Source organism: Homo sapiens, chromosome 2 (assembly GCF_000001405.40).
Source record: "Homo sapiens chromosome 2, GRCh38.p14 Primary Assembly".
Classification (NCBI taxonomy): domain Eukaryota; kingdom Metazoa; phylum Chordata; class Mammalia; order Primates; family Hominidae; genus Homo; species Homo sapiens.
Window position 1 is genome coordinate 111,292,454 of NC_000002.12, and position 25,087 is coordinate 111,317,540.

The 25,087-nt window shown below is 48.7% G+C and overlaps 1 long non-coding RNA gene and 1 pseudogene across 7 annotated transcripts in view, besides 6 other annotated features; both read right to left on the reverse strand.

Moving 5' to 3' along the window:
* Nucleotides 1-25,087, reverse strand: part of MIR4435-2HG (MIR4435-2 host gene) — a 299,296-nt gene that overhangs the window by 96,588 nt on the left and 177,621 nt on the right. The window lies entirely within an intron of this gene.
* Nucleotides 3,103-3,628, reverse strand: RPS14P4 (ribosomal protein S14 pseudogene 4; annotated as a pseudogene).
* Nucleotides 8,992-9,492: an enhancer, noted in NCBI's record as "H3K4me1 hESC enhancer chr2:112059022-112059522 (GRCh37/hg19 assembly coordinates)". NCBI's record gives its function as "activates a minimal SCP1, AML or CMV promoter by ChIP-STARR-seq in primed H9 embryonic stem cells {active_cell/tissue: H9 hESC(primed)}" and the evidence as "EXISTENCE:reporter gene assay evidence [ECO:0000049][PMID:30033119]".
* Nucleotides 12,270-12,770: an enhancer, noted in NCBI's record as "NANOG-H3K4me1 hESC enhancer chr2:112062300-112062800 (GRCh37/hg19 assembly coordinates)". NCBI's record gives its function as "activates a minimal SCP1, AML or CMV promoter by ChIP-STARR-seq in primed H9 embryonic stem cells {active_cell/tissue: H9 hESC(primed)}" and the evidence as "EXISTENCE:reporter gene assay evidence [ECO:0000049][PMID:30033119]".
* Nucleotides 12,771-13,271: an enhancer, noted in NCBI's record as "NANOG-H3K4me1 hESC enhancer chr2:112062801-112063301 (GRCh37/hg19 assembly coordinates)". NCBI's record gives its function as "activates a minimal SCP1, AML or CMV promoter by ChIP-STARR-seq in primed H9 embryonic stem cells {active_cell/tissue: H9 hESC(primed)}" and the evidence as "EXISTENCE:reporter gene assay evidence [ECO:0000049][PMID:30033119]".
* Nucleotides 17,690-18,198: an enhancer, noted in NCBI's record as "H3K4me1 hESC enhancer chr2:112067720-112068228 (GRCh37/hg19 assembly coordinates)". NCBI's record gives its function as "activates a minimal SCP1, AML or CMV promoter by ChIP-STARR-seq in primed H9 embryonic stem cells {active_cell/tissue: H9 hESC(primed)}" and the evidence as "EXISTENCE:reporter gene assay evidence [ECO:0000049][PMID:30033119]".
* Nucleotides 18,199-18,706: an enhancer, noted in NCBI's record as "H3K4me1 hESC enhancer chr2:112068229-112068736 (GRCh37/hg19 assembly coordinates)". NCBI's record gives its function as "activates a minimal SCP1, AML or CMV promoter by ChIP-STARR-seq in primed H9 embryonic stem cells {active_cell/tissue: H9 hESC(primed)}" and the evidence as "EXISTENCE:reporter gene assay evidence [ECO:0000049][PMID:30033119]".
* Nucleotides 24,408-24,940: an enhancer, noted in NCBI's record as "NANOG-H3K27ac-H3K4me1 hESC enhancer chr2:112074438-112074970 (GRCh37/hg19 assembly coordinates)". NCBI's record gives its function as "activates a minimal SCP1, AML or CMV promoter by ChIP-STARR-seq in primed H9 embryonic stem cells {active_cell/tissue: H9 hESC(primed)}" and the evidence as "EXISTENCE:reporter gene assay evidence [ECO:0000049][PMID:30033119]".

Below are 25,087 nucleotides of genomic sequence, written 5' to 3' on the forward strand. Positions count from 1 at the left end.
CCCCCATGTCATAAGCATGTTCTCCACTATTTTCTTTCAGTCCTTAATCTTTCTTCCGTAGGTAGCCAATGTCCAGCACGTTTGGTAATGACACCTCCTCGGTGAAGCGCAAGGCCACCTTGACCCCAGCTCCCATGGGTCTGTCTTCAGGGGAATTTTGAGGTTGTTTTTGCTGCAGGGTGTCAGGAACTCCTTCCTCTCTGATTCTTGGAAAAGTTTACTGTTTGCTGCTGGCTTTGTGGTCTCTCCTCCCTGCGCAGGTAGGGTGTGGAGGGTAATCAGAGTCAGTCCAGAGGTTGCTCAAAGTTTCAGTTTATCTCCAGCCACTATTTGCTAACTCATCTGAGAATTCTGCCAAGATAAACATCAGACAGACCCTCCTATGGTTCAATCAGTCTGCTCCTGGGAAAATTAGGACATGTGTCTGCCCGGCTCTGCTGGTGTTCCTGAGAGTGACTGGTCTCTGTGTGACCTTTCATTGGCCAGGCTCCCCCAAGGGAAACGTCCACCAGCAGAAAAAGTAGGAAAAAAAGCCCTTTATGCAGAGAAAATACACTGCAGAAACAAACATAGTCTAACCCTGCCTTTTAAAACATAGCTTTTAGACTGAAAGAGTTCACCCTTCCTCTCTCCACCTGGTCACTCTTGGGATGACAATTTCAAATCCCACATAACATTCACAGTGTGTTATTCCCATGCAATTACCTTGTTAGGTTTCATACATTTAGAACACGGAGCGGGACAGGGGATGCTTCTCCACAGTCTCTTCGTTATTGGGACATACTCCAACGCTCAGACAGCTCCACAATGCACCTTTCTCCCACTCTTCATTCCTTTTCTGGCAACCCTCTTTCTCTCTCAGAGGATTTTAAAAACATGTCTTGCTACAAAAAGCAAAGAATGACAGTTGCTTCAGAAAAATACCCAACTGAAAGATCCACTCCCTGACCATGGAGAGCTCACTACAGATCTAGAAACGCGAGGCAGAGACTTGAAGATGCTGCACACATCCTGTGTGGGAGTGGGAGAAAAGCTGCTGCTTCCTTAGCATTAAAACAGACAGGGTCATTTCAGCCTTGCAGGGGATGACCAGCCCTCACTGGAATTATGTGATGGCATCACATTTGCTCCTCATGTAAACATTCCAGCGGGAGAACGACTGCTCCCTGAAGACACTCATGGTGTGATAAACAGCAGTCAGTGGAATCAAGGCAGGGGCGAGGTCCTCTTCCTTCTGCCTCCTTCTCACCATGGCACCTTGAGAGAGGCCCTTTGTCCCTCGGGTTTTTCCATTTTCTCATTTGCAAAATGAAGAGGATCCCATCTACACCGTCGTGTTTAGAAATGACACAAGATCACAAAAACCTCTGCCGCCTCGAAGATACAGAATTGCTGGTGAGGCTCGTTGTCTGAGAGCCGGGCTCTGCTCCCCTCGGGGCCAAGTCTACCAATTGTTCTTTGGAAAACAAAAGTTGGAGGCATTAAAACTGGGCTGTTCCAAGTGTTCTTTACGTTTTATAAATTTTATAAGGTGAAACTCAATATTTAGATGATTGGTAGAAACGTCTCTTGGGGGCTTTATGGTTTTCTAACCTGGAGTGGGGGGACATGTTACCTCGGCAGGAGCATGTGGGCTGAGAGGAGGGAACCACATCAGGGAGGCCGGTGACTGGAGAGGGAAGTCCTCCTCCTGTGGAGGGCCTGGCCCTCATGGATTCCCCACTTCCAGGCAACTTTGTGACCTCAGAGAAGCTAACCTGATGTGCATGCTACTGACGTTGCCCATGCCGCTCCTGCTGGCTGATGGAACTATCTGTCTGGAGTCTGTGGATGGCGGACCTCCTGATTGTGTGGAGCGTGAGTTTTTCGAAAGAGATCTCTCACTTTCATCCAGGCTGGAGTGCAGTGGCACACACCACCACACCAGGATAATTCTTTTATTTTTTGTAGAGACACGGTCTCACTATGTTGCCCAGGCTGGTCTTGAACTCCTGGGCTCAGGAGGTCCTCCTGCCTCGACCTCCCAAAGTGCTGGGATTACAGGCGTGAGCCACTGTGCCCGGCCTTGGAACATGATTTGTTAAGGTACCTCTGAGGTGAATTAGAAAACCAGTTCAGGAAGTTGGAAAGGAGAAATTCCTAGAATCCTGTGTAACTGCTGGGTTCACTTAGTATTTCCAGTGCCAAGAGGGACCCGAAGTAAAGAGGAGCAGATGACATGGGAGTCTTGCCAAATAGAGAGACAGGGCCAGGGTGCAGGGGAGGTAAGGCTCTGTGCCCAGGTGCGGGGGAGGGAGGAAGCTTCTGGAAGTCCTCTGGGATTGTGGTGCCCATTTCTTTTGCTAAAGCCAGTGTTAACAAGGGTTTCAGTCCCAACCATGCCCCATACCCTGGCTCCCCGATCCTGCCCCAGCCCAAGCTTCCCTGCAGTGGGTTTCACCCCGTTTCTTCTCTTGCACTTGCCTCTCCCCTGCTACCCCGTCAATGATATCATCAAAGAAATTAGACCCGGATTGGTCACTGCAGTACATGACTGCATGCAGTACATGGCGAATTCCACTTCACTAGCCCGATAGGGTCATCTCTTGTAGTTGCCTCAGCTGCAAAGTAGGGTTAATAATGCCAGCCTGGCAGACTATGTGATAATACTTAGTAAGAGGACTCAGGTTAAGAACATTCCTAAGGTGCTCTCCAAAGAATCCCAGGGACTGTGAATGAAATGTTAAAATAACCTTTCTCCCTTCCCTGTCCCTGCATCTCATTTATCCTTGAGAGAAGGTCAATGAGGTGTTTCCCCGAGGCCAACTTCCAGGTAACACAAACTTCAAGGGGGTACCTCTAAGCACTTAAATAAATCACGTTATTCTTCTAGCATTTTATGTGACTGTAATTCTAGAACTGTACACATTTCCTGCCTTTAGAAGTAGTGTACAGGGAATTGGGGTGAAGGGTTTTCTTCAGGACTCAGGAGGGCAGGTGACAGGACTCTCCCTGGTGTTGTGGTATGCAAATGAGCCCCCGCCCATCAGTCCTGGGCCCTTCACCATGCAGACCAAGACTGGGCATCATTTTGTGTGAATTCTCTCCCTCTTTTTTTTTTTTCAGTTTACTTGAAGGCAATTTATTAATAGAAAACATTTTGAGGAGTCCTGTTCACAGATGGTGACCATGGCAACCCCCTTCCTGCAGGTGCTTTTGGAGGGGATGGCAGTGACATCCTCAATCCACCTGATCTTCATACCTGAGCAGGCCCCAGGTCCAGGGATCTCAGTCCTATTTCCATCTGTGGCCTGGAGTTTGATGTAGGCCAGTGGTGTCTGGCTCCTTGCACCTCTAGGCCACATCCTGGGTGGCCAGCGTGGCAGCATGTGGAGAGGATTCATCTGGCCACCCTTTACCTTCATCCCACCAGTCACACAGCACATTTTTTTTTTTTTTTTTTTTTTGCCAGAAAGATCAGTGACATGGACAAATGTGTCATTGAAGGATGCAAAGATATGGTAGATGCCAAATACATTCTCTCCTTCAGCCACCTGAAGTCCGGGGCTGATGATGTGTTCTTCCTTCTTTTCCTTCCCCTTTCAAGGTGTCATTTCTGTGCATTATCTCCAGACTCTGCACCAAAAAGCCCTGTGAGTTCTTAGATCTGCCTTTGAAGTCCCTTTTCTTTCTGTGTCCTGTTGCCGGCTGCCATCTCTGGCTCTCCCTGCCTCCTCTTGGCTCCCTACCCTACCTTAGCTCTCAACTGCTCTTTGAGGAAAACTGAGGGTAGTCAGAATGGCCTTTAATAGGGAGGGGTTGATGAGTTTGCAGCAGCTCAGAGGCTCTCAGTGTCTGAGTCCTGCATTCTTAGCCCTGAGCAAACACAAGCTGTTGCTGTGGGTCTAAATGCCAGATCCAGAGGCCCTGGTTGCATTTGTATAATACACCTCCCACTTTGTGGCTGGGTGTGTCCTCGGATTTATTTTAGAATAGTCATTATCTATTTCCGTGGGGAATTGTGCTACTAGCATGGCCACTTTATTGGAAGATCCAATAAAGAAAGCAGTGGGTGGTCTCTTGAACTTGGGTTATAATATAATCGTATTACAATAGGAGGCAGCATAGTTTAGCGGCTCAAAGCTTAAGCTGCTGCTTGGTCGTGCCATTACTAGCTCTATGCAGTTTTTGTCCTCATTAAATTACTATATGCAAAGAGATGAGCAGAGCAGAGCAGAGGCCTGCATCTCTGCTGAATCCTGTCAAGTCCTCATATGTGGGCCTGGCACAGATTATGGGACTGAGAGGATGCCCACCCCTCCCAGGAGAAGTGGGGAGGTGCATTGCCCCTGGAAAGCAGGGTGAGAGGGGCAGGGAAGGGGTGGAAAGCTGTCAGGACAGGGGGGCCTAGCTTCATGGTGGCTTTGTCACATCCCATATTTAGCCCAAGATGGGGCTATTTTGGAGCCGATTCAGTTCCTGGGGATATTTTTTTCTTTTTATAAGATTCAGAACTACTCTGAGCTAAAACCAATCTTTATCTGTAAAACAGAAATAATAATACTAGCTGCCTAATAGGGCTATTGTGGAAGTTAAATGGAGAAATGTACATCAAAGGCTAAAAACAGGGCCCAGGCAGGACAAGCACTCAACAACAGCTAGCACTCAACAACAAGCACTCAACAACAGCTAGCACTCAACAACAGCTAGCACTCAACAACAGCTAGCACTCAACAACAATCACTCAACAACAGCTAGCACTCAACAACAAGCACTCAACAACAGCTAGCACTCAACAACAAGCACTCAACAACAGCTAGCACTCAGCAGCTAGCACTCAACAACAAGCACTCAACAATAGCTAGCACTCAACAACAGCCAGCACTCAACAGCACTACACAGTGTTATATGTTATTGAGTGCTTATCCTGTCCTGGGCACTGTTCTCTGAGGACTCTGTTCTTTGCTATCTTTGACAGCATTTCTTGAATCATTTTTGAAAATTATTTTTGCCTTTCTTTTTTTATGAAATACTATCCCTATAGCCACCAGACACAGAGCAATGGGATAAGGGTCTTTTTCTTCTGTTTTTAACAGCACAGACTTCTTAGCAAACCTTTCCTGGCCTTTAGAGTGGCCTCAGAAGGACACTGTGTTGCATTCGAGGGTTGTATATCAGGCAGGCCTTTAATACTGGTTGACACTTTTTGGGGTTTCATGGCACTAGAGAGACCACTTTGTGTTCCTCCTGAGGAGTAGACTGAATCAGGCTGTTGGGTGGAGGTGACACTTCTCTGTAGTCCCCTATAATACCCCAAGAACCCATGCATTGTTCCCCCACAGAGGTCTTCACATGGCAATGAGAGGAGGCAAACTCTTGTGAGACCTTGGAAGAAATATCAATAGTGTTCAACAATCCTGAGTCAAGATGAGAATTCTTTTTAATTTCACAGGAACCCTGAGTTGAAGGAAGCCCTGCTCATCCTGTTAACATGGTGGTGGCTGCTGGGATCAGAGTCAAACAGCATACTGAATAGGCTCTGGCTCTCTTCTGACTCAAAAATCCCAGAGTAGTCTTGGACCAGGTCTGAAGAAGATGCTTTATATGCTGCAGAACAGGATGTATTGGGCTTTTGGATCTTTTCATTAAGAATGTGTAACTATTACCTCACTGTAGGGTGAACCTATGCAACTAAAACTTGAGGCAGGATGCATTCTTCTGTCTCTTAGGACAAACCTCTCCAGAAAGTCTCCTTGGAAGTGAGCCATGGGGCATGGTGTTGTAGTTGGAGAGCCAGCCACGCTGTGAGGGAAGAGAGCGCTGCCATGGTCTGAATGTTTGTGTCCCCCCAGAATTCATATGGAGAAACCTAGCCCCCAGTGAGGGCATTAGGAGGTGGGGGCTCTGGAAGGTGATTAGGTCATAAAGGCAGAGCTGTCATTAATGGGATCAGTGCCCTTATAAAAGAGGCCCCAGAGAGTTTGTTTGCCCCTTCCACCGTGTAATGATACAGCAAGAAGGCACCATCTATAAACCAGGAAATAGGTTCTCATTAGAAACCAAATCTGCCAGTGCCTTGGTCTTGGACTTTCCAGCCTCCAGAACTGGGAGAAATAATTTCTCTTGTTTATAAGTCACCCAGCTTATGGCATTTTGTTACAGGAGCTCAAATGTGTTAAGACGGTAGCACTTAGAATCAGAGGCTTGGGGGCATGCTCCTTGAAGTTAAACTTGGCTTGTGACTCACTTTGGCCAATGAAACGTGAGTTGCGGTAATGACGTCTCTTCTGGGAACAGACCTGCAAGCCCAAGGCTTGATACACCATGTCCCCTTTCCCCTGCCACAGAGACTGATGGCACTACTTTGGGGGATTCTTCCAACCAACACTCCTAAGTAAAGGTGACAGAGAATAGAACCCTGCTGAGTCAAGATGGCCATATAGCATGCACAAGAGATAAATGTGTGCTGGGCGCAGACATTGAGTTTGGGTTTATTTTTTACCAGAGCATAACCAGCCTGTCCTGGCGGATATAGTTAACAGCCAACAGTATCCCCTAAATGCCACATTTTACACACGGCCAGTGGAGCCTTATAAATTTGAGAGCTAGGAATCTTCCCATTTTACAGATGAGAAAACTGAGACTCTGAGCAGTAACAACTCACACTTGATGCTGAAACTGGAACCTTAACCACCTACCACCACCTGCCAAGCCTGATCTGTAGCAGGCAACCAGCACATTCACACTGAATCTCACAGACATTCACTCTGGGCTGAGCAGACATTGGCAGACACTGACCCCTTCGTTTGTTTCTGAGGCAAGAAGAGGCATTTCTCATGGGAAAAGGGTTGAGGACAGGAAAGAGGGCTCCTAGGAAACACACCCATCCATCTAAGTCCACAGGAGGCCAAGTCAAAGGTGTAGGGTCACTCTATACCCATTGCTTGGCCCTACTGTGCCTGGAATCCCCCAAGAAGCCACCAGAAACAAAAACTTCTGGGAAAAGAGACAGTGGGAATTTCCTCAGACAGTAATGAGTTATTCTGGATCAAATGCCCACTGGGCCAAGAAGGTGAGTCACCTAGTCAGTTTGGACTGCCATAGTGGAATACCATTGATGGGATGACTTGTAAACAACTGAAAATTACTTCTCACAGTTCTCAAAAGTCCAAGATCAGGTCCCAGCATGGCCGGATTCTGGCAGGGACCCTCTTCCAGGTTGAAGACTTTAACATCTCATTTTCTTGCATGGTGGAAAGAGAGTGAGAGAGCTCTCTGGGGTCTCTTTCATAAGGGCGCTAATCCCATTCATGAGGGCTCCACCCTCGTGACCTCATCACTTCCCAAAGGCCTCATCTCCTAATATGATCACCTTGGGGGTTAGGATTTCAACATATGAATTTGGCAGGACACAAGCAGTCAGTCCATAACTGTGACACACAGGAGAAAACTGCAGGCCAGCCAGGGAGAGTGGCAAGGAAGGGAACAGGTGCTTCCTCTCCACAGGGCAGCTGCCATTCTGCTGAGCATCTGCAGGTGGGAAGATGGCCAAGTGTTTCCAGAGCATCCCATTTTCCAAGACAAGTTGGAAAATATAGATTTTCTTTTTAACATGAAAGGTCAGCTCCTGATCTTTAAATCTTGATAGGTCATTAAACAACTTAAAATGCATGTGTGCCAAGCAAAACACATTCCAGACTGTAGCCCCCAAGCCTTCAGTCTGTGACCTCTGGAAAGATCTAGCATCATTTTGCTGCTTGAAGGAATGTTACTGGGGGCAGAATCTCCTCATCTAAACAAGGAATATGTCCGGAAATGCTGTCGCCCGCCTGACATGTGGGTGGAGTTGGCTGCCATCTGGATCCGGGTGTTTCAGAACCACCACCTGCTGCGAGGTGTCTGACATTCCATAACTAGGGACTCAGTTCTTGTTTGGGGGCACTGTCTCCTGGTTAAAAATAAATGAACCTTGACTGCCTTCTCAATAACTTTTCCCTTAGAAAAAAGCAGTAAGTATGAAGACAAGACCCTGAAGTTTGGCCAGTGGGTGAGATGCTGCAAAGAGGGTTCCCTGGGATAGGGCAGAAGAGGAAGGAAAAAGTAGCTGGGTGTGTGTACCAGGAGGACTTGCCCCAGTTCATGGTTTCCACTCATGGTACCCAATGTTGGCCTCCAACACACAATCCTGAATTCCCAGCAATGGCTGAGAAAGGTGCATGGGCCTTCAGGGAGAGAGACTTCAGCTGGGCTGAGGAAGCTGTTGAGGTAGAGCCTCTCAAACTCAGTTTTCTCAAAGGCACGCAGAATTTCCATCTGTGGCTATTTGTACTAATGATGATGTGCCCTCCACACACGCGTCTGTTCAAACTCTCATTAATTTTAAGCAGGCTGGGAGAAGACAGCCTGTACACACTGAGAGAGTCAATATACAGACAATGTCAAGACCATATAGAAAGACAGGACTCTGACCCGCAATCTGTAGCAATCAGCCCAGAAGCCAAACAACAGCTCCTATAGCAATCAGCCCCAAAATTCTAGGACTCGATTAATAACTGACCGATTCCTTAGGTTTTTTTGTTTTGTTTTGTTTTTGTTTTGAGATGGAGTCTTGCTCTGTCCCCCAGGCTGGAGTGCAGCAGCATGATCTCAGCTCACTGCAACCTCCGCCTCCTGGGTTCGAGCGATTCTGCCACCTCAGTATCCTGAGTAGCTGGGATTACAGGTGCACACCACCATGCCCAGCTAATTTTTTGTATATTTAGTAGAGACGGGGTTTCAACATGTTGGCCAGGCTGGTCTCAAACTCCTGACCTCAAGTGATCTGCCCACTTCAGCCTCCCAAAGTGCTGGGATTACACGCATGAGCCACCATGCCCAGCCTGATTCCCTAGGTTTTTGTCCCCACTTCCAACTTAGGACCAATGAAAGAAAGCCAAACATGCTCCCTAACCAATCACATGGGAGTCTCATTTCTTATAGCCACCTTCATTTTCCCCAGGCCAACACCCTCCACTCAGGGCAACCCGAAGGCTTCCTTTCTTTCTTCTTTGAGGCTTTCCCACTCCCCTACCTGCCTCTGAGTTTCTGCCAAAACACAAGGGATGGTGGCTGACTCCCTCGCTAGCACAAGCTCTGAATAAATAGCCTTTGCTCCTCATTTGGCTGGCTTTTGTTCATTTCCACAGCTCACAGTTTAGTTGGGGGTTGGGGTCACTCCAGGTAGGCAGCATTGGCCAACGTGGTTGATTAAAATGCACCCCCACACACTAACTCTGCAGAATGCACTTGGAGGAGGCAGGTTTGAAGGGATTGATGTACTCATCTGTTCCAGATGGAGGGCAGAGAGGCTCAAGAGATGTTTGAAATCATTGTGTTTTGACCAGAAACTTCATTAGCCTGAAGACAATGGGGCAATTGTCCTGGGGCAGACAAAGCAGAGTGCTGGGGACTTGGATAAGCTGCCACCTGAGCTGTCTGGGCACAGATTTCCACAGGCCGATGCCCGGCGGTGAAGAAGGCAGTTCTCTTCCTGTGAAAGGCAGCCACTGGGGGTGGTGGCCACTCAGTCCCACTGGAGGGGGCCAACATGGACAAGTGGCCCTGTCACCTCCTTGCTGGGGCAAGTCACCAATGTTTTTAGCAGGCAAGAGGCATCTCAAATTAAACCCAACTAAAAGAGATGTGCCTTGGGAAGGGAATGGCATTTTCTAGTATAAGAACAAAATGTTGTCATGGACGGAGAGCTTTAAAGACATGATACCTTTATTTTGCAGGGAGAAGCAGTTGGAAATGAAAGAAGTTGAAATGTACAATACTAATTGAAAAGAATTGGGATAGCCCTGAAATGTATTCCCGGCCCCCTCTCTCACCAGTTTCTGATATTTTGAAAACTTCAGGAGATAAATTCGAGTTTTTCTCCAGACATGGCTCTACAAAGAATCACATTTAGAGGCACTGCTTGGAGCTTGGCCAGTTAGGAAGAAGGGTGAGGAAGACTCCGCACCAGAGCCCTGTTGGTCCTGGCACAGGCCCCCATAAATAGGAAGAGAAGGTGCTAAAATACCTTTGTTCTTTTTAAAGAAGGGCTGCCAATTACTTCAACCAAGGTCCTGATTCCACTCCTGCTAATTAGGCTGACATCACAGAATTTACCAGAAGAAAAGTGGCCTGGAAAGCCACTCTCCCCGTCTCTAGGTTTCTGTGTGATCATGTGACACAGCAGTTACTATGGCGATTATCAGTCTTGAGTGGATTGTCCACAAGTTAAACTTACATCTGACAAGTCAAATTTGTCAGTTTGGGGAAAAAGTAAAGTGGGTTACTTTTTTTATTTTTCCTTGAAGAGATTTTCTTGGCTCCTGGAGATACCTTCTCCCCCTTTCTAGCTGACAGGTTTTTTTCCACACTGTAGTTTTGAGGTTGTTTTATTCTCTCTTGTGGTCTATATTGTGCATAAGAAATAGACATAGCTGGCAGCTGTGGCCCTCCATCATGATGTGGGGATAAAATAAAACACTTCCTGTGATTCAGTGAGGCACCAATCATAGGCTCTGCCTCTTCCGTGATGGGAATAGTATGCCAGCGACTGGGTTTTCTCTCCAACAAGTGTTTTCAATTTCCTTCATGGGCACGAACTGCACCACCACCAACATACCATGATCCTGCATGTGGGCATGTGTGCACATATGTGTGATGGGATTCCTAGGCTATAATGTTATTTTCCCGAATGCTGCCAGACACATGTCTCTGGAAATCCAGTGCTCTATCTCTCTTATGCCTTCTTGTGCATACAAATGCAGACCAGGAGCCAGAGCCAGAAAATACATACATAAAACCAGAAACCTCTTATGCTGATGCCGCGGAAAAATAACAGATATGGACCTCATGGAGGAGCAGGCTCTCCATAAACCAGCCAGAACCCACCTACCCCAACCCCAGATGCAGACAGACTGGTGCAGGTGGCCCAGCTGGGGCTGTAGGAAGAGTGTGCAGAAGCTGCAGGAAGAGTGGGTCCTGCTCACTGCCTTCTCTTTTTTTTGTTGTTATCTTGCACTCCCCATGCCAGGGGACATGGGAGGTGGAGAATCCTCGTGAAGTGCGTGGGGACAGTTGACCATCTTCCACTCCTCCCAGTCTACCCCCAGAGCCTCTCTCTCTACAGGTTTGCCTGGCTCTTAATTTGAGGACCTGTCTCTGCAGAGGCCCCTTGGTGATAAACTCAGGGTCACGAGTCAGTTCTCATAGGGATGTTCACTCTCCAGACTCACACCCACTGGCTGCCCTTGCAGACCTGCTGGGTGCCACAGAACCAGGGCACACTGCAACCAGAGCTTCCAGAAACTGGGAATGCTGGAAGTATCCAGGCAAGAAGCCAATAGCTCCAGGGACCCTGTGGCTCTGGGATGCAGGTGGCCTCTGCTCACCAAGTTCATGCTGGTAGGTATGTGGATGCTGCACTCCGTCCTCTGAACAAGATGGCCACTTTCCTTACTGGCAGATAGTGAAAAAGAATCCTTTTAGCACTGTCTAAGCAAGAGGCTGGCCTGCCTACTTGCCAGAACTTTCCGTGAACTTGCCAGAACACTCCTGGCCTCAACCAAGCCTCCCGCCTCAGCCTCCCAAGTTGCACAATCTCATGGTGCAAAAGGTATCCCTCTGGCCTGCACCCTGCCAGGAGCTGACAGGCGTCCAGGGTAAGCCAAGATGGGTTTATCGTGAAGCTCCCAGAGTGAGAGGGTAGTCCCAGCATAATGGTGCCAGGTAGGAAGGTGCCCGAGGAGTTAGGGCTAATGAGAGCCATCATTTATCATGAGGTGCCCACATAGTGGGCAGGGCCACCTGCCCTTTTCCAGTTACTCCTACAACCTGGCAGGGCCTCACATTCCCACCAGGAGATGTTTGCTTCCTCCCAGGATCCAGACAAGGTTCTGGGTGAAGACAGACAGGAGTGGTGGAGACAATGACTAGGATCCCTGCTGGCACTGCAGGAGAGCCCTCAGCGGATTACAGGAGGGCCCATCTGCTGAGAATCTGCTCATGCCAGGCACCATGCTAGGAACATTCTCATTCTAACTTTATTCTCATCCTTCAGAGAAAGCCTCCAATTTAGACCCTGTGATTCCATTTTACAGAAGAGAAATCTGGGGTCCAGTACTTCAACAATGCCTGTGTGTCCCAGTGCCAGTAGGGAAAGCAGAATTTGGACCCAGAATTACAGACAGACCCTGAATCAGTGCTGTTTCTTGCATTCCAGTGCTCCCCAAATTTCAGCAACTCATGTGTCACCATGCACCCCATTTACTTGATATTTTTCTTCTGATCAACTTGAAATCACTCACTTTTAAACTTCAGCTTGTCTTAAGCCATGATATTCATAAAATAATGGATTTAATGTGCAAGTAACACTTTTTCCAGATCTCATTAAAAGTTTCCTGGCCACAGAGCCCCTCTTGAGGGAGGTGAGGGAGAACTGGAAGGAGGAAATATGTAGATGGAAAGGAGAGGAGTTAGCAGAAAGCACCAGTAAAATAGAAGTAGGCTGTATATGAGTGAGTGGACAGCTCATTTGTTTCCCAGGACTGCAGTAACAAATGCCCACCAACTGAGTGGCTAACAACAACAGCAATTTACTCTGTCTCAGCTATGGAGGCTCCAAGTGCAAGATCGAGGTGGGGGCAGGGTCATGGTCCCACTGAAACTTGCAGGGGCGGGTCCTTCCTTGCCTCCTCCTGAATCTGGTGGTTGCCTGCAATTCCTGGCACTCTTTGGAGGGGCTGAGTCACTCCAATCTCTGCCTCTGTCTCCATACCACATTCCCTCGTGTGTGTGTGTGTGTGTGTGTGTGTGTGTGTGTGTGTGTGTGAGAGAGAGAGAGAGAGAGAGAGAGAAGAGAGAGACCCTGGCTCTCTTTTTAAAACATTTATTTATTTATTTATTTATAGAGACGTGGTCTTGCTCTGTGGCCCAGGCTAGAGGGCAGCAGTGTGATCACGACTCACTGCAGCTCCAGCTGGGCTCCAGCAATCCTCCTGCCTCAGCCTCCCCAGTAGCTGGGATTATACGCATGTGCCACCAGCTAATTTTTTAATTTTTAAAATTGTTTTAGAGATGGAGTCTTGCTATGTTTCCCAGGCTGGTCTCACATTCTTGACCTCAAGCAAGCCTCCCACCTCAGCCTCCCAAGTTGCTGGGGTTGCAGGTATGAGCTACCTGGCCCTGCTGTTTTCTCCTTTCATAAGAACAACAGGCATTGATGTACTATGACCATCCAACATGAAGAGTATGACCTCATCTTAATGAGTTACACCCGCAAAGACCCTATTTCCAAGTAGGGTCACACTCTGAGGTCCTGGATGGATGTGGATACAGGGTCACTCTTCGACCCAGCACAGATGGAGCGAGTGTGGGTGTGAGCGTGTGACACACAGCAGCCCTGGGAAGGGACGTGTGATTGAGCTGTGCAGTTAGTGAGAGGCAGCCTGTGGGGGAGAAATACCCTGGTAAGGAGGCTCAGGCCTTCTCACTGCGGGCCTGCCTGTGCCTCTCTGGAACTTTCTACCTCTATCAAGGGAGAAGCTCAGACATCGCCAGAGTGAGAGATGAAATGTATCACAAATTAAAAAGAGAACTACCATATGATCCAGCAACCCCATTTCTGGGTATTTATCCAAAACAGTCAGCATCCTTATGCTCCTAGAAGCCTATTTACAATAGCCAAGAAGTGGAAGCAACCTAAATGTCCACCGACAGATGAATGGATAAAGAAAATGTGTTGTATTCACGCAATGGAATAATGGAATATTATTCAGCCTCAAAAAAAAGGAAGGAAACTCTGACACATGCTGCAACATTGATCAATCTGGAGAACATGATGCTAAGTGAAGAAGGCAGACACAAAATACTGTTTGATTCCACTAACATGCCGTATATAAAATAGTGAAACTCGCAGAAACAGACAGGAGCATGGTCCTGCCAGGGGCTGGGGGAGGGGACTGAAGAGCTGCTGCTCAAAGAGCCTCAAGTTTCAGTGCAGTGAGATGAATAAGCCCTGGGGACCGGCCATGAAGCATGGCACCTGCCTAGAGTTAACAAGACTGTATTGTGCCCCTAGAAACCAGCTAAGAGGGGAGATTGCATGGTAAGTGTTCTTAGCACAATAAAATCAAATTTTTTGAAAAAGAATTAAGCAGAAAGAAATAAACCTTTATTTGGAAAACAAAAACAAACTTATTATATCGCTGGCCTTGAAAGTGGGTAGGGGCCGAGGGGCTCCCTGGGGACTGGGAAGAGGCCCTGGCTGTTGCTGCTTTGGTCTTTTCCTGCCTCACTCTTGTGTCTTATTTCCCCACTAGCTCAGAGGTGGATGGGAGAAGTGCCATTGATTGGGGCCTCTCATACCTGGGCCGCCAGGGCCATCTCCACTTACAGAGAAGGAGGCTGATTCTAAGGCAGGAGCACATGGTGGAGAGCCCATGGTCAACTGGGGGAGGCTGTGCCCAGCACAGTGGCTCCAAGCACATAGCCCAGTCTAGAAACTTCCCTGAAGGAGGGGCTCTGTCCACGTCACCAAGTTTCCCCAGACTGCCTTGTGCTGGCATTCAAGAGCTTATGGGGGTGACCCCTCAGCCATGGGGTGGCTGATGGGCAGGGCCTGAGGTCCAAAGTCTCCCTTCCCACTTGCCCCCCTCATACACATGACCCCACTGGGGGTGAAGGCAAATCCTAGCATTTTCTGAGCTGGCCTTTGGGATGGGCTGTCATCACATATCTGGGATGCAGGCCCTTCCCATGAGCGCTAGTCACTGGGGCTCGGGTTCCTGCAGCTAGGTGTGCTGCTCCTGGAGTGAAGTGGCCACTGTAGGCCTCTGTGGGTGTCTGCCCCACTCATGATGTTCCCTTGTCTGGGAACTGCCTCTCCCATCCACAGAGGTGAGCCTCAAGGAGTCACCTGTGTTCTGTGGGACCTTGGATTAGTCAGGGTCCCCCAGAGAAACGGAGCCGAGAGAAGAGTAGGATGTGCATTAATTGGCTCATGTGATTACAGAGGCTGACAAGTTCTAAGGCCTGCAGCCAGCGAGCTGGAGACCCAGGAGAACTGACCAGTTCTTGACATCATTTCTCACACAGGCCTTTGTTGGAGTCCAAAGGCCTGAGCCCAGAAGGCCCAATGGTGTAGCTCCTGTTCCAAGGCCAGCAGGCTCCCAACCCAGGAAGAACCAGTGTCCCTGTTCAAAGGTACTCAGGCAGGGGGAGAGTTCCCTCTTGCCCTCAGAAGGTCAGCCTTTTTGTTCTACCCAAGACTCTACTGATTGGATGAGGCCCACCACAGTAGCAATCTGCTTGACCCAGTCTATTGATCTAAATGGTAAACTCATCCAGAAAACCCCTATTAATTAATTAATTAATTAATTAATTATTGAGATGGAGTCTTGCTCTGTCACCCAGGCTGGAGTGCAGTGGCACAATCTCGGCTCACTGCAATCTCTGCCTCCCGAGTTCAAGCAATTCTCCTGCCTCAGCCTCCCTAGTAGCTGGGATTACAGGCACCCGCCACCATATCCAGCTAATTTTTGTATTTTTAGTAGAGACAGGGTTTCATCATGTTGGCCAGGCTGGTCTCAAACTCTTGACCTTGTGGTCTGCCCATCTCGGCCTCCCAAAGTCCTGGGATGACAGGCGTGAGCCACCGTACCCAGCCTCCTATTTAGAATAATGTTTAACCAAATATCTGGGGACTTTGTGGCCCAGTTAAGTTGACACATAAAATTAATCACAGATCTCAAGCCAATCAGATTCTCTCTCCAGAGGAATTTTCTACTGGGACAGAGAGACCAGCTGGTCTCTGCCTTGGTAGGACCTGGGGACCTGATGGGCAGACAACTTTGCTCCTGGCCTCCTTCTCAGGCCCTTGAGAATTGTAGGACACCACCCCTCCCTGCCCCTGTATCTTGATCAGACGCATACCTTCCACCTTAGATGAGCTTGGGCTGAGTTTCTTGCCTGCATCCCCACCGGGACCCCTGTGAAGGCTGGCTCCCCTCAGTCAGGCTCTCCCTCCTCTGTGGGGTCTTCACCCATCCCTCGCATGTTTTCTTACGGCTGGGCTGGGTCATACTTAGAGAACTGACTAAATACAGAGTCTCACATCCTCAGTGATTATTACAATAATTCGAGTGAACACGGAAGACTAGATTTTTATTTGTGGGAGTGTGTGTGTGTATGTGTGTGTGTGTGTGTGTGTTTCTAACACCAGCCACTTGCTTCCAGAGACACATTTCCATCTGTGTGGTCACTAGCCTGCAAAGTTGTGGCACTTCTTGGTGCCTCCTTCAGGGCAAGTCTGAAATATTTTAATAGACGACTTAAACGTCCTTTAGGTAGAGGTTTCCAGAAAAGCCAGTGGAGTTGGATATATGGTTTTAATAACAATTCTAGTTACTGAGGCTTCTCCTCCCATCCTTGGCTTGGGTACATACAGTATAGTTAAAACTAAACTGTCGAAGGGGAATGATTTAAAGCAAAGTTCTGGCCGTGAGTGGGCCTTGGGAAACCTGCTTTGAGGTGCTTTGTTTTGTTTCTGGAAGAGAGCTGGGGAGGACAGCCAATGCTATGTCGGCGTGGCTGCATTTTTGCAGCATGGAAGTCGGCGGGATTATTTTATTATCACGCTGACTGGACTATCACCCTGGTCACAGGCTGCAGCAAGGAAGACTGAATGTTTGCAACTGTAGGTGATGAAGATGCCACAGAGATGGCCTAATTAATCTTCTCATCTGTTAGCTGGGGACACAGGGAGCCCGACTTGCTCCAAGTCTCCCAGCCAGGCTGTAGGAGAGCTGGATTGCACCAAATCAGACACAAATTCCAGATGGCTCAAGGACCTAAGTGGAAACGTGAAACTTTCCAGTCACGAGAGAACACCTTTATGACCTCATGGTGAGAAGGAGGGACTTCTTGGGGAAGACTCAAAAAGCACAAACCAAGCGACAAAAGGCTGACACACTTGACCACATTACAATTAAGAATTTCTCTCTATCTTAAAACAAGAAGAAAAGCCAGTGTGTAAAGTCTAGGTTTCCCCTGGAAGCATAGGATGGTATGCATGGGAAGAGTGGCAGTGTTGGCTCCCTCCCAGCACCAGCCCCTTGCAATAATATATGCCCCACAACAGTGCTGTGAAGCATGCGTCCCCAAGTCACATGGAGGAAGCTGAGCCTGGGGAGGCCAGTTGCTTGCCACAGTCACTGATCTGGTGAGTGACAGGGCACCACAAGCCACCACCCCCTGCAATCATCACCCATAGACTCACCAATGCCCCTCTCCTCCCCTCCCACCTTTGCAGGAACCAAGGTGTTCTTTAAAAAATGAAAATCAGACTGTGATATCCTCACCATCAGGTCCTTCTCCTCCTCACCTCTTACCACATTTCCCTTTCCCCAGCTCCTGCAGTGCGGGCCTCCCCAGGGCCTTTGCACAAGCTGCTCCCTCACCTGAGACCCTCTTCTCACTTCTCCACGTGGTCAATGTCACTCATCCTGAAATGCCACCACCTGGGAGAACCCTGCCCTGGCCTGGATGCCATTCCTCTTAGCACTGTACATAATTTGGCTTCTATGTATTTGTTTAACATCTGTCTGGAGTACACTGAATGCTCTTTTGTTCCTGACTGTACTCTTAGCTCCTAATGCAGTGGCGGGCACATAATACATGCTCAACCAAAATTTGTTGACTGAATGGTGAGTCCCTACTGAAATGTTTCGAGCACTGTCCCTAATGAGCCATGTGACCTTGACTATGAAAGCCCACAGTGCCTCCCAGCTCTGACCTACATTCACCCAGCTACTCAGAGACAATAACCCTACTGTGTGCCAGGCAACAGGGATGCAGTGCTCCAGGCAGCCCAGGGTCAGGCAGCATCTACCAAGAGTCTAAATTCACACAGTTCTCTTGGTCTCCAACTTGCCTGGAGATGGCTGGCCTCCCCAGATGTTGGCTTGCGTTTCCTGGGTGGCCCCCTGGCTATGGAGGTGATGCCGGGGGCGGGGGATGAGTTCCAGCCTCCAGGAAGGATGCACCTGAGCCAAAAGGCCATAGTAGTGCAGGAGCCAGGGCCAGCAGCCAGTCAGAGGAGGGCGGAGCCTTCGGGACAGCAGCACGTCTCTGATGCCAATGGGACAGCAGCAGCCCTGCCCGCCCTGAGCAGGCTCCCTTCAGGCTGTAACTCCTGTCTATTATTCAAAAAAGGGAACCTTTTTCCTCCTCTCAAGCTTTGTACAAAACCATGACGAAATAATTAAGTTGTTGACTCTTCTTTCTTCCTGGGGCAGAAAACACAGCCCCACAGAGGATCACATTTCACCTGTGTGCTGCCCATCTGTGCTCCAAGCTCAGAAGTCTACAGAAGGAGCCCTCCACCAGCCCTGCAGCAGGGTCCCCGTGCTTCCTCACCAGCGGGGCTCTCTCCACGGGCTTCTCTGCACAGCGCAGCATTTTTTTAAACCAAGGTTCTAAAATTTACCTTGCTTCTTTAGAGGCACCTAGGAAGCCTTCGTTGCTTCAGTGAGCTTCTCATGGTAAACAACCAGAAACAAATCGTAATCATACGGGGAAGGGTTGCGCTGGCAGGGTCGTGTGGAGGAAAGGGCCAGCTATGTGGATTCCATCTCCGCTGGGATAGGACTTCTGAGGACGGGGGAGTGCCCTGAGAGGCCACTGGGTGAGGGGCCAGTGGGGGTCTTGGGAATGAGGGAGACACTGGACAATTTTTGCGGCTTTCTGAGAGGTGAAGTTACTTGACAGGGGTAAGTGGGGAGAGAAAGGCAGAGGGGAGGAGAAAGGAGCCTGCACCTACTGAGTGCTCACAAAGTGCCCTGTGCTCTGCCCATGGGTTACCTCAATTTTCTCATTTAAGTCCCTTGCTGACCCTGAGAAACAGAGATTATCATCCTCATTTGATGCTTCAAGAAACTGAGGCTCAGACAGGCTGAGCAACTTCCCCAAGATCACACAGTGATTTGCACCCAGGCCCATCTAAAGCATTCATACCGCGCTGCCTTGCATGGAGGAAGGGAATAGCGTGGCCTGAGAAAGTCTGACCAATAGCCCCTATCCTCTCCCACCTGAGCTGGGATCCTCGTGACAGATCTGCAGACATGCAGTGGAGCTATTCCAGCCACAAGGCCCTCAAGCATTTGCCAAACCAAGCATTTGCTGCAACCAACAAATGAATCTGTGCACCCCTTCCAATAGCCCACACACAATGGTTTGGTTCAATGTGTCTATGTTTGAGACAAGCACTTCCAAAAGGAAAGCACGTGTCTGGCCAGTGGGACCCATAGCAGGTTCAGAGTCCGAAGGGCCATGAGGCATCCTTGGCACCGACTGCCCCGGCCAGCTGTGCAAGGTTGGAGGTGGTAGGTGGGGTGTGCATTCACCAAGGCTTTTCCTCGGCATTAATCTGCTTACAAGAAGACTGCGCAGACTCTTGTGAAAAGTTCACCAAGGTTACATGCAGGGGGAAAGGCAAGGCCAAGGTAGGAACGGGGACCTCCATGGAGCGGATGACCTGAGAAAGCTGCAGATGGAAGATGGTGGAAAGATGACGTGAAGGTTAGGGCACAAGAGTAACAAGTGTCCTGGGCTCAGGGGGAAGTTAATCCTAGTCAGAGAAAGCAGGGAGGGAAGAACCATCTATGCCACCCATGAGGGATGGAGTTGAGAAGGCCCCGGCTCTGTAACTCCAAAGCTCAGGCTCTTACTGGGCCATCACACAGCCCCCTGTGTGCTAAAGTGATAAGTGCCCTACATCAGAAAGCACTCATACCTCTCTAAACAGACTCAAGATGGAGCTGGATTCCAAACCCGGAAGCAAGGCTCTCTGCAACTCATTTTTTTTTTCACTTTCCATATTGTGCTGAACAAGTGGGGAGGGTTGAAGGCAGTGGGATGTTCAGAATGTTGGCAAGTGACAGTGACCAGAGGCAATGGAAAGCAGGACAGGATGTGACTTGAGCATGTTGTGGAGGGTAGGAGAGACAGTGCCGGGGCAGATTCAGGTCCTCCCCATGCTCCGCCGGGCTGGCTGGCCCTGGGGAAACGGCAAACGAGAGTTAGCCAAGGCAAAAGAGCTTCTTAAAAGTGATTTTGATTGTGAAGTATACCACTCATATTATAAAATGCATCACACATACAGAAGACTGTATAAAATGTACCTGAACGATTTAAAGAATAATCATAAGATGAACATTTGAGTATCCACACCCAATGCTAAACAAAACAAAACAAAACAACAAAACAAAAAAGCAGCATCTTACAAAACGGTCCTGTGTTTCTCTCACATGGTGTCTTCCTCCCTCCCTCACCAGGGCTAGCAAACCTCCTGATTTTTATGTCGGTCATCCACTTGTTTTTCTTTATAATTTACCATTTATGTGTGATCTCTAAACAATGGATTCTTCAGTTTAAAAAAAAATTAGTAGCAAGCACAAAGCCAGCTGTGCAAAGAAAGGGCAATGTAGCCCCAATAAACAGAGGCCCCAAGAGCACGTAACATGCCGCAGAACATCAGAGGCTGGCCTCCGCTGCCCCGATGATGACCTAATTACTTGGTATTCCAGGAACTGGGCCAAGGGACAGCCCGGTCTGCCAGAACATCAACTCCAGCAGGGAGAATGGGGGCCATGAGGCCCAAGGGGGCAGAGCAAGGCAGCTCATGTCCTGAGAAGCCTGCCACCTCATTCCCACACTGGCCTTGTCTCCATCCTCCCCATCTCCTGGGACCAGGGGTATTAGGAGAGGGGTGATCCCGCACAGAGACCCCCCACCGCTTTTGGGGGTGGAAGACTGAGATGCACTGAAGGCATCGACTGCTGTGGGCAGGGCTGGAAGGTCCCTGACCGGGGGATTAATGGAGGCATCATGAGAGTGGACTAGGGCCGCTCTGTGTTGCTCCCTCGGGGAGGGAGGGCAATGATGCAAGATCAAGCAGTCGGGGGAAGATCCTCAGGGACCGGGCGGGAGCTGAAGACTTCCAAGAACAAAGACTCCGGACTCTAATGCTCAGTATGAAGTCCTGTGACTAATTCCCCCCATACTTATTCATTCAATAGCAGGCACCCCCTCACCCACCATTCATTAAAGTCTGTTCCATGCAAAAATGTCTTCTGAGACTGAGTTGTGAGGTATCAGTGAGGGGCTAGAGTTCATCTCTAGGTTTGATGTCACCCAAGATAGAGAACCCAGCTAATGCAGAGGACCATGTATCCGTGGAACTAATCCAGTGAGAGCAGAAGCTTGGAACTGGGCTGTAGAGAGCTATGGAACCCCACAGCAATTTGAGGTGATCTTAACCAGATGTGTAAGAGACTATTTAACCCATGCACTAGCATCTGTGCTCCTCTGATGTGCTCCCATCTCTCTCCTACCCGTCTCTCTAGACTAGAGGCCTTCCCGTGTGATTGCTGGCAACTCCAGTGCAGGCACTGGCTGGCATTTCTTTGTCCCTCCAGCACCACCTCCTGCCTAGTGCAATTTATGGTCATGATGGTTCAGAAAGAACTTTTTGAAGGGATAGCCCATGCCAGATTTTATCATGACGCAACTTTGCTTCAACTGGATGTTAGTGTAGAATCAATCTCCTTAGTTATTTAGAGGAAGCAGGATGTTCAAGAAGGTAGACAGCAAATAGTGGACACATTTATTTTAGGGAAAAGAATCATTAGAGTGTGTATTCTTCCAGTCGTGCAGTCATTAATTTAACTATCATAATGCAAATATTTAAAAAGGAAGAAAATTAACATTTAGTGAGTGCCTACTGCATGTTTCATATCTTTGATTCTTCCTGGGTTTACAAAAAGTATCTCTGAAGTCTTGTAGTGTGTCCACTGAGTTTCTCTAGTTTCACTAAACCTCCGGACAGAAGAGCTCCAGGCAGCACAGCAGTCACCTTCTGCTCCCTGTCCTGGCCGCTCCTGTCGGGAGAGAAGGCTGGGGCGCTGTGGGGCACTGACTACAGGTCTGTGCCGGAGTTCCCCGATGATGCTGGCTGTAAGTAATGAGCGTGGTCTGCTGGGCCTTCCATGCAAAGTTGGCTCAGAACCAGCACCCTCTCCCTGCCCTCACCGGTGTGGCTCCTATGGGGAAACAGAGTCAGAGCTGAATGGAGGAAAAGCTCTCAGTGAGGGCAGAAAATGAAGTTCACCTGGCCAGCCCAGACACCCAACAAACAAACCAAAAACAAAATATAAACAAATAAACAATAAATAAATGCCAAGCACCATGTGAAACATTTGCATCTGCTGCTTCACAAACCTACGAGTGCCAAGTGTGGTATATGAAGATGAGCAATTCTCACATCTCTCTTTAGACAACAGAATTTACCAAACTGCAAGAAAAACTGACCTCCAGATGTTACCGCCACCTGATGCATATTGAATGAGCTCAAAACAAGCTTCTGAATTTGGAATCATCCTTCTCAAATTGATGGAGAAAGTGACAAAAGTGGAGGCATTTCTGTGGGTGTGGAGGGTGCCGAGAGCCAGATGTGGCTTCTTGCAGGGACACAGACCTGCCTCCAAGACAAAGTATTCATTTGGTGGCCCCGGGGGCCCCTTCTCAGGAATAGTTAATAATATTAACAACTCCAACACTTCGTGAAATTATTTAGGTAATTAGCAAATAAAGATTACACCTCTAATTTCTTCTTTAAATTCTGATTTGGGGCCCTAGACTCAAAAAAAAATTGAGGCATTCGTAAGTCGAAGTTTTACCACTACGAGAGTTAGCATTTCCTAGTGTGGAGAAAAAAAATCAGATAAAGAAATTGCACTGGAAAGTGAAATTGGATTTTTTAAAAAATCAATGAAGTAACCAGGCTATTAAAATGGAAAATAAGTCTGATGTCATTCTGAAAAATAAGGGAGTGAGTCACCTGCAGAGCCACTTAATTAAGCACAGGAAGTAACAGGAGAGCTTGAGTAATTTTCCCCGTTAATGTCAGTATTTCAAAATGAGTGAGGCGTTAGGCCACTCTCTTTTAATCTGAGAGCTAAATCAGCTCTTTTGCCCTCAGGACATCTTGAGACATTTGAAGTTGATGAAGAGCAAAAAGGAATGTATTAAAAATTATCCCAACTGCACTCAAACAAGGAGAAAACTAAGCTTTCTACTTTAGGTCCCTGGGGCATGGAGTGATGGAGGCCGGGGAGCAGGCGCTGGGAGCAGGCACTGGGAGCCTGGGGCTGGAACGCTCTCTGTACGGAGTGGGGGAGGCAGCCCAAGGCGGCACCGTCACAGTGGTCATAGGGAATGTCAGCAGAGGTCTTCCCTGGCTCCTGGGGATTGCAGTAATTTTCATTTCTGGCCTGTAGCAGCTGAGAGGGGTGGCTTCTGTGTTTGGGTTTTCACAGAAGTGATGTGGGACATTTGAGCACCTTGAAAGAAAGTGTCCGTTCTCCTTCCTGTCAATGCGGGGTCATGCGGGGCCTGGCTGGCCTCCCCTCCTGCCTCTACCAGCCAGAGCGCCCTGGCTTCATCTGCCCCAGCCAGGACACTAGGTCTGGGGCGCTCTCCCAAACAGCAGTATAGAAATGCCCCAGGCCTGCCCCAGACCCACCCTAGGGAAGCGTGGGGACCGTCCCAAGGTGTGCTTGGGGGCTCTGAGTCTCAGTCCTCTCCACCAAAGTGAAGGAGGCTCCTGAGGTTCCTGCTGGATCCCAAACTAGAGCAGGCTCTGACAAGGAGGACCGGGGCTGTCCCCTGAGGCCTCGTGTTTAGAGCATTCCATTGTCCTCCATCCATCAGGGCCATCATCATCAAAGGCCTGTTCCTCTCCACTGCTGGGATTAGCATAGTTTGCACCTATGTCTTTTGGTGTTGGTTGGTTGTTTTGTGTCTACTATTATTATTTAACTTTGCTGAAATTCGGGAACTTTAATCCCTACATCTGGCCTGGTTTCCATAAGGGCTTGTTTGGAGAACCGAGCCCACGGGGGCGTGAGTGCCTGCGAAACACAGAAAGAAGCCGAGACCCAGGACTGAAGACTCGAGACTGCTTTGGGCGTGTGGAGTTTGCATCCCTGATGAGTAAGTCAGTCTGTTCTGAATGATCCAAGCTTAATTCGTGGTTAAAAACAAAAACTGGCCACAACCAGGCAGCTCTAGGTTTTAGACAGCACCCTAAACCCCAAGGACCACCAGACACTTTCCCAATATTAACCACCAAGAGTGAAAAATGCATAATGCTCAGTTTGCAAAGTTAACTTCATCAGAAATGCTTCTCCCTCCCAGGTAGTTCTTTATTACTTCATCTTGAAATTGGCAATGTAGCGCTGGGTTTTTACTCTAACTTTTAAAATGTTTCTCGTTCTCCCCCATCCCACCCCAAATAGAATCGCTTGATAAAAACAAAAGCAAATTAATATTTGGTGTTCACGTTTTTAACCAATCAGCCAACTGAGAACCAGGTGGGCTAATCCTAATCCCTTTTTGAGGATTGTCCTGAAGGCCAGAGGCCAGGTGTGGCCTCCAGCCTCAGGCACCCACAGACTTTCAAGAGGCCTCTTCCTGAGGTCCTCTCTCCCTACTTTAACAAATTCTCCTCCCACATGAGATGACACATCTGACAGTCACCCAGCTGCTTGATGTATGCAGGTCAAGCTGTGAACTGGCTTTGAGTTCCAATCACCATTAGAAGGTAAATTCACTGACTTGAAAGCTTACTGATGTCATGGAGTCATAATCAAAGATCTCTTTGAAGTGGAAGTTGGTCAGTCATTGCAGGAGGAGGTAAGAAGGGGTGAGATAAAAACTCAGGCAGCTGAAACCATTACCCCCTGGGGAAGCAAACCCCAGCCCTCAATTCTGAATCCCCAGTAAGGCCTCTCCCCAGTGCAAGCAAGCCCACCTTTCCTTAGCCATCCCCATTCATAGCCTCATCTGCTTCTGCCTCACCAAGGGTGACTGCTGTTCAAATCCTGGCTCAGCTGCTCACCGGCCTTATGCCCCTGCCCTGGGGAAGGCCAATGCTTGGCTGCTTGCTCACCTACTAAACAAGAACCCTCTGAGTGCTGGTGCATTTCCCTCGGTGAAGGGTTTGGCTTGGAGTCAGGGT